Consider the following 16176-nt stretch of genomic DNA (forward strand, 5'->3'; position numbering starts at 1 on the left):
CTAATATTTTGTTTTATTATGCTTCGACATTCCTGAAGCTAAATAAACCTAACTCTGGCAAAAATGACGACAAAGGCAACAAGGGAAGCAGCAAACGTGAAGCTGCTACCGAAAGTGGCAAGACAGCAGTTGTTTTCTCCTTGAAGAATGAAGTTGGTGGATTGGTAAAAGCACTGAGGCTCTTTCAGGTGAATGTGAAATATCATTACATAATTTTAAAAGTGACCGTGTGCCTGGGTACAAACCTGTTATCTGCTATGAAACATTACTGAATCAATTTCTGGATAATGTGGTGAAAGATTCAAAGGAACCAAACTTCGTGAGGCTTTAAAAGGGGAGTTGTCTGTCAAGCAATGAAATAAGCAGAATTGCCTAAGCTGTGGCTTATTAATGCAGAGTTAGCTGGTTAGGAACTCTGAAGACTATTGCCAGGTTAGGAGGTCAGTACTTCAAAAACGTGAGCTTCACACCTGAAAATGAAAACACAAGAGCCAAACAGGGTATCTTAAGTAGCAAGAGCCTGCAACTTGATTTGATTTGTTCAAATTTGAATTTACACATGTCCTAGGAGCATGTTTATTATGAAAAACTGAGATACATGAATATAGGCACACGGTATTCCCCTAAGTCTCATTGTTTATGTGTCTTAATGTATCTTTTTGCGAAGATGAGTCACTCTCCTTATATTATATATTGTTGGGGTAGCTCTTCCCTTATCTTATAGAAATGTTCATAGCATCTTCTCAGGCCCAAATCTGTAGTTTGAACCCTCAAGAAAGATCCTGGTTAGGGATGAGGCTGGAAAAGCCCAGAAAAGCTGTTGTGTTCTTGCCAGCATGTACCTAATGGTTTCTGTACCCATCAGCAAACACCCTCCCTTACAAATGCATTTTGTTTGGGGGCAGTGGCGGTTGATGAGAGCTGTTAAGATAAGGAACCTAGCTCTGCGTGATGCCTTGGGCTGCTAGTGCAGTGGAAAGATAGCTGCAATTGCAGTTAGGGGGTTCAGACCTGTGTTATCCTGGCTTGGCTAAACACTAGCTGCTACTTAGGTTCAATTTCTTTATTTGTAAAATTGCATTAATAATTCCTACCTAACAGGATTGCTGGGACGACATAATATGAGTGAAAGTGCTTTGTAAAGTGTACAACTATGAGGCATTATTATGATGCCTCTATGATGATCATAGCAGGGGAATTAGAAGCCTGATTTGGCAAATAATTTCTTTTTCTCTTTTGACCTCGAAGAAAGGATCAGGCACCATAAACAGTGGTAATGGAAATCTGAGGAAATATTTTACAGACAATTATGTCATCCAAGGCTGTGTCCATACAGTGCCAACGGCAGGCCAATTCAATTAGACAGCTGGGTGCAGTGGATAAATTCCTGGAGAAGGAGTTAGCAGCCCTGAGTTTTCACTCTGCCATCAGCTAGTCACGGGGCCTTAGCTAAGCCATTTAACCCATCTGGACCTCAGTTCCCCTAAAAACATCTACTCTGCTTCAACCAAAGGTCATTAAAAGCCCAACGTGACACAATGTATGTGAAGTCTATTGGGCCTTGAACTTAATCTTAATATTATTATCAGCCAACTGAAAAAACATGCATGATATTATTGTAAAGGTTAATAAAAACAGAAATAGGACATTTAGTTTCCTCATCACAAGACCAGTTTCTTTATATAGGAGAGGGTGCTGTTTGATTTGATACTATGCTGGCACTGGAAACTATCTATCCTGTTCCTATGCTGAAAATTCTGAGATCATCTAGGATTGCATCAGGAATTGTGTTGGTAATCACAGTGTATCATCTGGAGTGAGAAGATGTCTGCTTATTTGTAGGTGGGTTGGGATGGAGAGAACAGAGTCTTCAATTAACTTAGAGGAAATGAAGAACACATCACTGGGGGAAATTCTAACCTGATTTTTAAATATTAAATCACTGCCCTTATCTCTGAGATCCATCATAGAGTGATAGTTGCAGCAACACATCCTTGGCTGAAGCTAGTTTGAAGATTGCCAAAAGAGAGCAATTATTAAATGATCCCATTTAGGGGTTATTATCATTATTTTTTTACCTTTTTTTCACCCTCCTTGCAATCATCTAAGTTGTTTGTTTTCCTTTTGCCTTCAAAGATCCTGTCTTGACTACTTATCTTGCTCCTAATTCTTTTTGTACCATATGGGTTACAGTTTGGCTAGTGTTTCCCAAGCCTCAGTCATTTCCATGCCACCTCCCCAATTTCTGCTTGCCTTTTGTACTGTCTACTTATAAAAAAATTATAAAAGCTTATTTCTGAAAGGTTATTTTAAAACTTTATTTTAAAAGAAAACTTTATATTAGGGGTTTGAGTTTTAGTTATGTTTTTCAGAAACACATAAATCTGGATATTACATGATAATATAATAAATAATTTTTTCCCCAAATAATCACGTGCCACCTGTGGGATGTGTACCACTCTGTGGGAAATGATGATGTTCATTTTACAGGGCCACTTTATATTTTAAATGCCCCTTCTATTTTTTTATGAGGCAGGACAACCTATACACAGAAGTATAAATATATAGATTTTTTATTAATGGAAATAATGGTTGGAAACATTTCCAAGTTTTATTCAAAGAACAAAGAGATTGTCTCTTCCTCTTGTGTGGGTACTTGGCACCTTGCTTAAGATGTGAACAAGAAAAGCTCATGGCATTCCTTTTATTGTCCCTGAAGGTGATTTTCAGATGCTCGTGTTTCCACAGGAAAAACGTGTCAACATGGTTCATATTGAATCCAGGAAATCTCGGCGAAGAAGTTCTGAGGTTGAAATCTTTGTGGACTGTGAGTGTGGGAAAACAGAATTCAATGAGCTCATTCAGTTGCTGAAATTTCAAACCACTATTGTGACGCTGAATCCTCCAGAGAACATTTGGACAGAGGAAGAAGGCAAGGGTGGTCTTAGCTTGTCGGGTAACTTTGCAATCTGACAAATATTGCAAAGGGGAAAACACAATCTGTGAACTAATATTTTTGAACCTGCACTGTTTTCAACAGAGCTAGAGGATGTGCCCTGGTTCCCTCGGAAGATCTCTGAGTTAGACAAATGCTCTCACAGAGTTCTCATGTATGGTTCTGAGCTTGATGCTGACCACCCAGTAAGTGTCCAGTAAAATCTATTTCTCACATGCTCTTTCAGCTCCACCCATGTGCCAGGCACTGTGCCATGTTCTGTGCTGCAATGCTTTATTATAGAACAATTTATTATTTATTCCCCATAACTGAGAGCAGACTTCCAAATGATAAAGCTTCCCTGTACACGTGTTGACTGGAAGCGGGTTAGAAGGATGGTATTTTCACATAGCATTTATTTTTAAAAGGGTTGGATAGAGGAGGAGACGCTAAACCTTGGAGAATATTTCTGTGGAATTAGACAGCCTGAAATATACCTGCAGATGGTGATCCTTGGAAAAACGATGAACTGAAATTGATCATGCCTCTGGGAAACTAGGGAGGACTAGGTATTATGGGGCTCAGTGAGAGAATAAAATTCTTCCTGCTATTTTCCTTGACTGGAGGTAGTTAGGAGTAGAGTAATGTAGTTGACTTCAGTCTCAATGGAAAGGTAGAGAGTTTTAGAATAAAGGCTATGATGGAAGACATATCTCTTCCCACATCTACCCTGAATCTATCTACCATCATTCTTTCCTCTACTCCAATAAAAATGACCATCTGTAAAGAAATATGATACTTGGGTAAGCATTTCCCATTATTCTCCCCTTCCCCCTTTTACATCTGTTTTTATTTAACACAAGAGACCTGGAACTTCTTTATGGCCAGAGTGAAGTACAGTTAATAGTCTGGGAGAAGTAAGCAATGCACCCATTCATTATAGGCATTTTTTCCCTCCCCCAGTGCCCCTTGTCTAAAAATGGGCAGATAAAAGAGTGAAACCCAAGCAGATCACTAACGCTTACAGGGTGCCTCTGTGGTCTGCAGGTAGTAGTTTACAGACATTCCTTGCTGTTTAAACTGAGGAAATCTGGGGGTTTGGCAGTGTGGCTATACTCTGCGCAGTGGCTCTCTAAGTGCGACCCCAACATCAGCAGTGTCAGTATCACCTGGGAATTTGTTTTAACAAGCCCGCCCTTAAGTTTGAGAACCCCTGTTTTAAAGGAAACTATGACAACTTTAACCCTAGGGAAATCTTCAATTAAACCAGTCATTTGACATAATATACCAACTCAGACCAATTCAAATATACCATTCAAACAAATGGTCAAACAGACCTAATTCAATTGCATTATTTTCAAAAAGCTGAATTCTCTCAAAGAAACAATGTGTTATATTTGCTAACATAGCCTAAAATTTCAGAATATTTTCCAGTAATTCACATGTAAGGCTTCTGAACATTAGAAAAACATTAAAAAATAGCTTTAGTAATCACCCATTGTTATCTTTCCCCTCTCTCAACTTCCAGAAGGCATCAGAATTAGCACGGGAACCTGACGTAGGAGCTAAGCAGTACCCGGGCTGCACAGACACCAGCTGTTAACTTGCAGAATGACCTTGGCCAAGTCCCTTTACCTCTGCACCTCAAGTTCTTTATGTAAAAAGTGGAAATAAAATTGTTACTGACCTCAAAGGGGTGTTTGAAAAGCCTAGTTAATAAAACAACTGGAAAGCATTTGGCAAGAGTAAATGCTTAATTCCAGAAATAGAAATGCTGTATTAAATCATCCGGATCAATGCCTGGACACTAAAGGATTTTTTGATAACCTCCTATTTCCAAATGCTCCCCTTAGTCTAGTTTGAAAATTACTCAACCTGGAGAAAGGAGTTCAGCCATTTTAATGGAACAACCATAGGAACCACTGACCTTGCTGAGAAAAAATTTATTCCAATACCCAGCATAAATTTTCCTGTGCTTAATTTTATTCCATTACTCCTAATTATACCCACCTTATGATACCTTCTCTTATTTTCTGTGCAGCCACTTGAAATAATTGCAAGCACTTAGCAATCCCCTCTCTTGTCATTTTTTAAACCGCATATATTTCTTTTATACGCACACCAAATGTTCATTATACAGAATGTGATATTGGCAAATTGGTGTTTTTGTAAGTTGTTTGATGAGGATGGAAAAGTTGTCTAAGCACTTTTTCTGCCTGGGAATAATCCCAGTCCTGAGACAAACACAGGGACCGTTGTGATAGGATACTTCAGAAGGGGCTTGGAATATAAGAGTAAGGTTGCCGAGGCTCCCTAGAAAGGGTTAAATATCTAGGTCAGTGCCTCTCAAACCTCAGGGGGCAAACTAATCACCTTCGAGATCATTTTTAAATGCAGATAATGAGTCTGTAGGGCCTGGGATTCTATTTCTGGTGATCTCCCAGATAAGGCTTGCACCAGAGGGTCTTGGGACCACACTTTGAGGAGCCAGCATCTAGACTGGGAAGGTCTTTCGAAGTGGGGGTTCAAGGTTCACTCATAAGGTGTTTGTTAAAAATACAATATCTTGATGCTCATCTGAAGCCTACTGAGTCAGAACTTTCAGGGATGGCCCAGGAATCTGCATTTCAAGGTATCTGCAGGGGATCCTGATGAGATCTAAAGTTTGAGAACTAATGTCTTAATTAATGTTCCAGCTCAGCGATTCTCATCCCTAGCTTTCCATTCACATCACATGTGGAGAATTAAAAAATACTGATGCCAGGGCCTCTGGGAATGTGGCCAGGTTTGATGTATTATTTAAAGCTCCCAGGTGATTCTAATATTCCATCACTGTTGACCTATTTGGGGTAGCTAATTGAGTGTCAACACAAATTTAGCTGAGCACTTTAGAGTTCAGGCTGGGTCTTCAATTTCCTTTGATTTCAATTGAGAGAGGGAGGGTGGGTACTCTCTGGCTGCTAGGGTTGCCAGATTTAGCAAATAAATATCTAGGATGCCCAGTTAAATTTGAGTTTCAGATAAATAAGGAGTAGTTTTGTGGTATAAGTATGTCCCATGCAATACTTGGAACATATTTATACTAAAAAGATTATTTGTTGTTTATCTGAAATTCAAATTTAACTGAGTGCCCTGTGTTTTATCCGGTAACCCTATCCCTGGCTTCAGTTCAGAATGGATGGCCAAGGAATGCTGTTTCTCTGTCACTACTAGTGCAGCTAGCGTCCCTAGTTTACTTTGCCAGTCCATGGTTCAATCCAGGAAGTTCTGGATCGCCCACAACATTTGCGTAATCACCGCCACACTAAGCTAATGAGGCATGATGAGTAAATCGCTCTCTTGCGTCCTTGGAAAAGGTGCAGGTGTTTGCAGAAGAGAGGCAGTTGAGATTCTTCAGGAGGCCCAGCAGATTATGATGCCGTTACCATGGTGTCCAGTCTGGCAGGAACCGGGGAACAGATGCTGTGCTTTTCACAGGACGCTTTTCCTTTTGTCATGGCCTGTTTTCTTTTTGAATAATAAAGGTGCTTGGAATTCTTTGGTTTTACCATCTCAAGTAGCCTGGTTTTACTAGTGAGTGTTGAAACAAGTACTTTCTAGCATGACTGCATCTACCCTCTCCAGCAGGAGACCTTTTTAAAGGGCACAGATCTATTTGTGAATGTGGTAACTATTTATTTTATTTTATTATTATTATTATTATTTTTTACCAAATACCCAAACTTCAAGGACTGTGGTAAGTATTTTGTAAAATTTTTTATATAGACATTTTAGGACTTCACAAGCCTGCCTATGAACCCCAGTTTAAAAACTCCCAATTCACAGTAAAAGAAAGTGCTAGTTTCTTGGACAGAGGATACTTCATTTCTACATGGTGTTAAGGTGGTCTCAGGGCATCTTCTCTCTCCTCCCCTTAGTAACTCTCTTGTCATTCCTGAAAGAAAGGTTGTTGACAATGGAAGTTCTTCATTTCTGTCAAGCAGACAGCCCTGTGAAGATTTCTAGCCTCGAGGCCAGTTCTCTCCAGCCAGGCAAGAGAGGGGCGATTTGCTAATGAGTTTGAGGCTCCTCTTGAGCGGCCCATCTTGCAGAGCTGTCTTAGGTTCAGCAGAGGTAGTCTAGGCCTTTGTGGGCCTCACCCTGTTCTTCACTCTCCAGTGCCATGATCCCAGTGGCTTGTCTCCTTGCCTGGACTCCATTCTTAGCAAGCCATTGCTTCCTGGTTATCCTTCCAGGTTGCAGGGCTGTAGTGGTAGGAGTCAAATTGCAATAACTCCTTCTGAGCTTCCAACAGCTAGAAGAAACAACCCTGGAAAGAATTGATTGTCTGAAAGTGCTTAAAGGAAAGGAAAATGGAAAGTCTGTTGACAAGAGGAGAGATTTTTGGGTAAACCAAGAAGTCCTCTCTGAAGGATTTCACTTGACTGAAAAATGACAGACATAATGTTTAATTTCCCAAGTGGCTGATGATGGATAAAAATCTTGAAGTTGGCTAAGACTAACTAGAATTATAAGAAGTCAGAGTGAAATGGTGCCAGGCTTCTGTCCTGTGCATGAATTCCCTAAAATCGATTTTGCATTATGTGGCTGTAGTCATAAAATACAGCAAAACCTCTTTAATTCATACTAATTTGGGAATGTGTCTATTATTCTAAATGATAGAATTTATAATAAATGTCACATTTATTAGTTATTTATACAAAGCAATTAAAATTAGGTTAAGTTACTGAATAATCATGTTAAAGGGATCTGTTTTAATGAATAGGATAGGATTAATTTGTGATTAAGATCAATTACATGCAAATGATATTTGAAAACCTAAAGGTATTGTTCACAATATCAATTTGCTCAACTAAGCCATTCTGCTTACTTAGTGGAAAGGTAAACTTTAGCCTGAATTGCCACACATCCTAAATTAGTATAGCCCCAATTTAATGAGGTTTTACTGTAAGCACAATTTGTTTCTGTCTGTGTCATCAAGATGGCCATCCTAGGATAAGATTTACATATGAATTGAACACTCAGACACCACAGTGATTTTCTTTTAGGTCTTCTGCAGCTAATTTTCAGCACTTTGTTAAATAACTTAATCTTTTTTGTGTTTAAGGGATTTAAGGACAATGTCTATCGACAGAGAAGAAAGTATTTTGTGGATGTGGCCATGGGTTATAAATAGTAAGTACCTGTATAACTCTTTCTTGTCACTGGCTAGTTAGGAAAAACACATGCTGTGTTAAACAAACCTGTCATCTCTTCACTTTAACTTTTGCAGAAAGCAGGTGTGAACCATTTTAAACACTCACCAACTCTGTAGGCTTTAAATGCCAACACTGATGTTTGACATCTGGGTATAATTGTAAAATAATGAGACCTGTGAGCCACATGCCAAGTGCTACGTTTACACCATTGTTTCCAGCTCCACCAAGACAAAGACCATTTCTGTGCACTCTGCAGGCCTTAGAAACTGTGTTTTAATTTTAATTTTACTTTAGCCTTGACTTTTCAGTAACCCCCTTCAGTCTCCTGCTTCCCCGATGAAAGTAGAGGATTCAGCAAGAACGGTGAAAGGGCTCAGTTAAGGAGCCGTAATAGAGAAGACATGTGTTTGTTTTACATGGAGAGGAAAACTTCCTGTAAACTGCAGGGGTTATGAAGGAGTTTCACACCCATTCCCAGATCAGAGTTGGGATGGAAGAGGAGGACCTAACTTCGGGGTGAGGACTGTGCATAGTACATGATGCTAAGTGGCAGTGACTTTCACTCGCATCCGTGTGAAGAGACCACCAAACAGGCTTTGTGTGAGCAATAAAGCTGTTGATTTCACCTGGGTGCAGGTGGGCTGAGTCCGAAAAGAGAGTCAGCGAAGGGAGATAAGGGTGGGGCCATTTTATAGGATTTGGGTCAATAAAGGAAAATTACAGTCAAAGGGGGGTTGTTCTCTGGTGGGCAGAGTGGGGGTTACAAGGTGCTCAGTAGGCTTAGCTTGGGCTCAGAGGCCTGACAGTGACAGGATGTGTTTGTGACTGGAAATGGTGTTGTATGTTGACTGCAGGCCATGTTTAGAAAAATGCAGTGGTGGTTAGGCCTGTGTTTGTTCTACTCATGCTAGTATAACTCATAGATCATCACAATGCTCTCTTTCCTCTGTCTGGTATGATTGATCAAGCTACAGGAAACTTGTCATCAGAACAAAATGCAAATCCATCTCGTAAGGGAAAGATTCGTCCTACCCCAATTGAGAGTAGGTGTGAAACTTGACTGTCCTGTGAGGCGAATTTTTCACTGGTGAAAGTTTAGAACATTACGTGTGTTATAGAGGGTCTCAGTGTGGGCTTTGTTTATAAAAAGGGATTTGACCCATGGTGCTTAAGACAGATGAGAAGATTCTTCATCCCACCTCTCACTGGGCATCCCTAGCTTCCTTTGATGCTTAGGTGCTCTTCCCTTCATCCTCCCAAGTCCCAGGCATCCTTCGTCCTTTCTCCACGACATTTAGGAAAACAATGTTCTTAAAAACCAGGACCACATGGCACATGTCCTTTCACATGTGCCTATTCTCATCTCCTCTGTTCTAAGCAGCTTCTTTCCCCTCTCTACTGTGACTTTCCACACCTTGCAATGTCAGCATGCACTTGCCCTAGCCCAAGCCCAACCTCAGGCCCCCTTCTTACCCTCAGTACCACCCCCGCTAGCCCCATGTCCCAGTGTTTCCTGATTAAATTGCCAAGAGAGGACTCGGATGGGCTGAGCTCACATTTTCACCTCAGGCCCTGATGATGGTTGTGAGCCTTATGATTGGCTTCCCCTGGTCCACAGGCTCCTTCTGCGGAATCAGGTCATGACTGTAAAGGTGGATCCTTAGAGGGGGTGTGGGCAGGGCAGTTCTTTGTAGCATGACCAGCCAGAACATGGTAGAAGCTCAATGCCTGGCAGAGCCTTTTCCCTTAGATAAAGTAGATAGCTTCGTCACTCAGTCTGCCTCCTGAGTAGCTGGGACTACAGGTGTGTGCCACCATGCCCAGCTAATTTTTAAAATTTACTTTTTGTATTTTTGACAGGGTTTTGCTTTGTTGCTCTGACTGTTCTCAAACTCCTGGGCTCAAGTGATCCTCCTGCCTTGGCCTCCCAAACTATTGGGATTATAGGTGTTTGCCATTGTGCTTGGCCAGAAAATGTATTTTATATGTAGATGCTATATGTTTTATGTATGTGTGTGTGTGCATGTGTGTGTGTGTGTGTGTGTGTATAAAATGACATGATTTCGGCCGGGTACAGTGGCTCATGCCTGTAATCTCAGCACTTTGGGAGGCTGAGGCAGGCAGATCACCTGAGGTCAGGAGTTCAAGACCAGCCTGACCAACATGGAGAAACCCTGTCTCTACTGAATATACAAAATTAACCAGGCATGGTGGTGCATGCCTGTAATCCCAGCTACTTGGGAGGCTGAGGCAGGAGAATCGCTTGAACCTGGGAGGCAGAGGTTGCAGTGAGCCAAGACTAAGGGACTAGCTCAAGGGTTACTTATTTCTTCTTGATAGAATTCAAAAGCTAAACAAAGGCAAGCTGATGTTGTGGTGATACAAGTAGAATATATGAGTCAACCAGTTTCATGGAACTTTGGTAATGAGGAGTCATTTGGTTTTAAAGAAAACATATTTATATGGAGAGGACAGAAAATGAGCATATAGTCAAAATGATGGAGAGTGAGGTTCTCAAAGTGTTAACAAGAGTTTGCGTTTGCCACCTTTGCATAGCTAAAGAGTAAGATGAAGGTGTGATGTCTGTAGAGAAAAAAAAGTAGAGATTGGAGAAACTGGTGGACATTTACACAAAAGAGGGCTGGATGGAGCTGGGGCATTCCAGGATCTGGTCCCAGTTTGGAGGGCTGGGAAGTGCTAAGGTTCAAGGGGCCTGGCTGTTGGTAACTGAATGTTCAGGAAGCCAAGAGAGCCAGGAAATGGCCAATTCATCATTTTATAGTGAGAAACAACCCTCATAGGACTCACAAAATGATCCTTATAGTCATGATAGCAGAGGAGGCCAGATTATAACCTTAGGCTACTTGGTGGATGCAGAGTCAAGTCAAAGCAAAGGGTATTTACCTAAGAGAGCTTAGAATCCAGGGAATTATAGCCCTCTCCCCTGGATGGTGCTGAGCCCAGACTGACCTAGGCAGGATAACAGCATGCTTAAAAACTGCAGCATTGGACTCCAATAGTCTGGGCTTGTGTGCACTCCTCTCCTCCAAGCCAGATGTGCAACCTCATTGTGCCAAGGCTGCTTCATCTGGGAAGTGTGCCCAACAATAAGACCCATTTCACAGGGTTGTATTAAGAACTAAAACAGAGAATGCATGTGCTGTACCTCACACATCGCCCAACACATGACCAATGATTATAAATGTCACTTATATTATTAGGTTTAATACATCTCCCCAGACCATTTCCACAGGCTGTCTTCCATTTCCAGTGGACCTACTGTTTTCTTCTTTAGTGATGTTAATACCGTTGTTTATATGCCATTTACAAATAATGTAGCTCAAAACATTCTTGGAAGAAACTGTTTAGTTTCCCATTGAAGGGCTGTTGCATATACAGAAGTATTTTGTGTTGACCCACATTCCTCTTTACAGAGAGATTTCATAAAAAGCAGTCATATTCCTCCCCACCCCCTTTTCCCTGCTTTTTTTTTTTTGCACATGGGAAGCTGCCAAAATACAGACTGCCAGTACTTCTTGTGAGTGGATGAACTGAGGAAGGTGCCTACCAAAGGTAGTTAAATCAGGAAAGCACGAACCCAGGACTTGTGGGAAGTAGAGCCAAGGATCATTCCTTAATGCCCCGCATGCTGTCATTGCTAAAGTTTCTCTGAGTATGAGTTTGAGGATGGATAAGAGAGAGACAGTCCTGTGTGTCACTTTTGGGCTCTTGTGCCTGCCATGGTGCTGGTGGGGGTGGGGCACAGATACTAACGAATTCCAAATGGGCCTTGTCCATTTTCTCCAGGCTGCCATGTAGCAAGTAAGGTTTCCCTTCAGTTTATAGGAAACAGAGACGCAATTTCTAATTGAAATAGGTATTTTTCTAGTGCTGATGGTTTTCTGAGTACATAAAGGAGAGTGACGTGAATACCATAATTACTTAAAATAATCTCATTTAAGTGTGCAACAACCTGATTTTCCAAACTGATGTTTAGAACCACTTTGTCCAAGGGATAGATCATTTGAGATTGGGGTAGTTTTGAAAAATCTGGCGTATGCAGTCCTCGCAAATATAGTTTGGTGATAAAATTAGGGACCATGCTGGCAGGCGGAGAACAATTCAATTCCCTGTTGATAATTAGTTAAGACTTTCTGGACAAGAAGAAGAAGTCAAACATGTGGTCAGAAATACAGAGAAAGATGGAGTATGGATATTTTGGGGTTGTAATAGGGGTTAGCAGGATATAGTTTGAGTTGTCTAAAGGTAAGGAGAAGGCAAAGAAATGAAATACAGAATAATATATATTGAAACCACAACCAAGAAGCCCTCTGGGGGATTCGTGTTGAATACTATATTTTCTGTGATATTCTTGAAAGGATAAATCAGGGGGGAAGAATAAACACAAGCAGAGAAAAATGAAAAAATTCCACTCTATGATGAAAAAACAGCAGGCTCAAAGTCTGTATTACCATGAACCCGAAAGAGGAGAGGGGGCGGGAAAGCGCCGGCATGCTAACTGTCGATAGATGCCACTCAGGCGAGCTTCTGATTGACAGTGCTGCTGAGAAACATGATTGATTACCCAGAGGCCCACAGCAGCCTGCAGACATGAGTGTGGGAAGGCCTAATTGCCTCACCAATAATAGCGCAGGAAACACTCATTAGTGCAAATATCATTCTTCATAGAAGATCTGAGAATGAACGCCCTGTATCGAGAGGACACTTTCTAAAATCATCTGTGAGAGAATGTCTAACACGCAGATCATGCCTCTCCTCCCCCGCCCAAATAAAATAAATTCTAGTATAAACAGGAAAAAAGTACCCCATGATTAGATAATGTGATGTGCATATAGACTTGCAGTTCAGAGGAAATGGAAGTGTGTGGGGGGCAGATAGCCTGTGGAGGAAGAGGAAATTATGACTGCGATGTAGTAGTTGTTAGGTTTGTCTGAAACTGTCCAGTTTTCTCTCTTTAGTGCCTTCATATTTGAATCTCAGCATTAACATTGCTGCATTTCTGTGGACTTCACAATTACTATATTGTTGGGGGAACAATCAGTGATACGTTTTTTCAATTGACTAGAAATAAACACATTTTTCTTTTGGGGGCTGTTACAATGATTATTCCTCAACAATATGCATGCATATTTAATTTTTTTTTTCGTGGGGATGGTGGTAGTTATTTCAATCCATCTTATTCTCTTGGAAAGAGGCCCTGAGCTCCTACTTTAATTATGCCACTCTTGTTTGCTTAAATTGATTTTGAATATTATTGTGATTGTGTTTTATTATGAATGTACCTACTCCTGGTTGAAAGTAAGGTAGCCCATGAACCTCATGTTCTTCTCATGGGGCTGCTTCCTCTTTGATTTATTTATTTTTATCCATGGAATCTGAAATGTAAATAGGCAACTACAACTGTCAATAGGTAAGGTAAACAAGAGAGTTTCAACATGTTAGAATTTCCAACTCTAATTTAGGTTAGAGTTGGACAATTCCTTAATTTGCCAAGAAAACTCATTTGATTTAAAATTCACCGATTCAAATCATCCCTTAACATTGCTCAGCCTCAGTTTTTCTCCTCTGTAAAATGGAGACAAAACTATCTCTTCGGCCTCTCCTGGGAGGTTTTTTTAAGGATTAAGTGAAGTAAGTGGGGCATTGCTATACAATGTACTTTGTTATCCTTATTAAAACAAGAATCAAACAATCTAGACCAAAGGCATGGGGTTTACTCAGACCCCTGACAACATAAAGGCCTTGGCTGCTTTTCCTGTTTTTCTTTAGATCTGAGAGGCAGCGTGTGAAGCTGTTAAGTGTCAAAAGTCGGAGCTGCACTGCCTGGGGTGAATCCCAGCTTTACCATTTACTAACTGAGTGACCTGGGCAAATTGTTTAAATCTTCTGTACCTCAGTTTCCTTATCTGTAAAATGAGGATAACTCTAGTACTACTTTATAGGATTGTTATGTGGATTACATGAGCGAATATAGTAACAAAACTTAGAACACTACATGTGCTATATAAATATTTAATAATATTGTTATTTTCTCACTTCAGATGATCTCTTCTTTTTGTCTGTCCTCATGCTCCAAATCATTTTATTACCCTTTGGTTGCCAGTCTTCTCCACTCCCCTCGGCCAAGGCTTTTGTATAATCCTGACTTCTGTCTGATTTTTACACTATATTAGTTATTGATACATAAAAAATAATCCTCAAATTTAGCACCTTAAAACAACAAACATTTATTATCTCACATAGTTTCTGAGTATCAAGAATTAGGGAACAGCCTAGCTGGAGGGTTCTAGATTAGGGTCTCTCATAAAGCAAACTGTTGACCAGGGAAACCATCATCCAAAGGCTTGACTAGGGCCAGAGGACCTGCTTCCAATATGGTTACTCATAGGGCTGTTTGCAGGAGGCGTCAGTGTTTAGCAACGTGGCCTCTCTACCAGGCAGCCTGAATATCTTCAAGATACTGTAGCTGGCTTCTCCCAAATCATGTGATCCAAGAGAGTGAGCAAGGCAGAATCTATAATGCCTTTTATAACCTAGCATTGGAAGTGACACACCATCACTCTTGCTGTATCCATTAGATTCATAGACCAACTGTGACACACTGTGGGAAGGGATTACACATGGGCATGAATATCAGGAGTCAGGGTTCACTGAGGACCATCTGGGAGGTTGGGTACCACATTCATTTAACTTGTTCCCTCCCTCCCTCTCCTTCCCTCTCTCCCTCCCTCCCTCCCTTCCTCCCTTCCTCCCTTTCTTCCTTCCTTCCTTCCCTCCTTCCCTCCTTCCCTCCTTCTTTCCCTCCCTCCCTCCTTCCCTCCTTCCCTCCTTCTTTCCCTCCTTCCCTCCTTCCCTCCTTCCTTCCTTCTTTCCCTCCTTCCTTCCCTCTTTCCCTCCTTCCCTCTTTCTCTCCTTCCTTCCTTTTTTTGAAACAGGGTCTCACTCTGTTGCCTGAGCTGGAGTGCAGTGGTATGATTTTAGCTCACTGCAACCTTGACCTATCGGGCTCAGGTGATCCTCCTGCCTCAGCCTCCCGAGTAGCTGGGACCACAGGTGCATGCCATCATGCCTGGCTAATTTTTGTATCTTTTGTAGAGATGGGGTTTCCCCGTGTTGCCCAGGCTGGTCTCAGACTCTTGGGCTCAAGCAATCTGTCTGCCTTGGCCTCCCAAAGTGCTAGGATTACAGGTGTGAGCCACTGTGGCTGGCCCCATTTCATTTCTTTATGACACTTTTTAACTGCTCTCCCACAGTGGGAGCTAATGTGCTATCTGTACAACTAATCCCTATGAAAGAAGAGGTAGCATGGTGTAGCAGAAGATGTGGCAGAATGTATAGGATTTGGAGCTAGACAGAATTAGGTTTGAATTCCCGCTCTACCACTTAAAAGCTCTGTGGTCATGGGCAGTGACCTAGTCTCTCTAATTCTCAAGCTGTCATCTTAAAATGGGCACAACACCTTGCATGATTGGGAGGATTAGCAATGATTACAGGACTCAGAGTGCTGACTGGCACAAGGAGATATTAAATCTATGATAGATATGATTATTAGTGTCATGTGGTAAATAGCTAATTGTTCTTCAATTTCATATAATCAATTGTTAGGCTCATTTAAAATGAGTAAAGGATTTTTTTTTTTTTTTTTTTTTTTTGTGAGACAGGATCTCGCTCTGGTCACCCAGGCTGGAGTGCAGTGTCATGCTCATGGGTCACTGCAGCCTCCACCTCCCAGGCTCAAGTGATCCTCCCACCTCAGCCTCTTGAGTTGCTGGGACTACAGGTGTGTGCCACCATATCTGGCTAATTTTTCATATTTTGTAGAGACACAGGTCTCACTATGTTGCCCAGGCTAGTCTTGAACTCTGGCCTCAAACAATCCTCCTGCCTCGGCCTCCCAAAGTGATGGGATTATAATTGTAAGCCACTGCACCAGACTCTAAAGGATCTTAAGGAGTAATTGAATTAAGGAATTTCAGGCTCCATAATGGGCTGGGTTAAAGGAACTTTTAAAAAATAGGGGTG

General features: G+C 41.3%; 1 protein-coding gene across 2 annotated transcripts in view, besides 1 other annotated feature; it reads left to right on the forward strand.

Moving 5' to 3' along the window:
• Positions 1–16176, forward strand: part of TPH2 (tryptophan hydroxylase 2) — a 93596-nt gene that overhangs the window by 2701 nt on the left and 74719 nt on the right. For both annotated transcript variants that reach the window (XR_001748575.2, NM_173353.4), the window contains exons 2-5: positions 39–188; positions 2749–2932; positions 3041–3141; positions 8043–8110. Coding sequence is in view for 1 of the 2 variants with exons in the window: in NM_173353.4 (NP_775489.2) it covers positions 39–188; positions 2749–2932; positions 3041–3141; positions 8043–8110 (503 nt within the window). In the remaining variant the exon portion in view is untranslated. The remainder of the gene's footprint in view (positions 1–38; positions 189–2748; positions 2933–3040; positions 3142–8042; positions 8111–16176) is intronic.
• Positions 7672–8530: an enhancer, noted in NCBI's record as "OCT4-NANOG-H3K27ac-H3K4me1 hESC enhancer chr12:72342997-72343855 (GRCh37/hg19 assembly coordinates)". NCBI's record gives its function as "activates a minimal SCP1, AML or CMV promoter by ChIP-STARR-seq in primed H9 embryonic stem cells {active_cell/tissue: H9 hESC(primed)}" and the evidence as "EXISTENCE:reporter gene assay evidence [ECO:0000049][PMID:30033119]".

This window comes from Homo sapiens, chromosome 12 (genome assembly GCF_000001405.40).
Source record: "Homo sapiens chromosome 12, GRCh38.p14 Primary Assembly".
Lineage (NCBI taxonomy): Eukaryota > Metazoa > Chordata > Mammalia > Primates > Hominidae > Homo > Homo sapiens.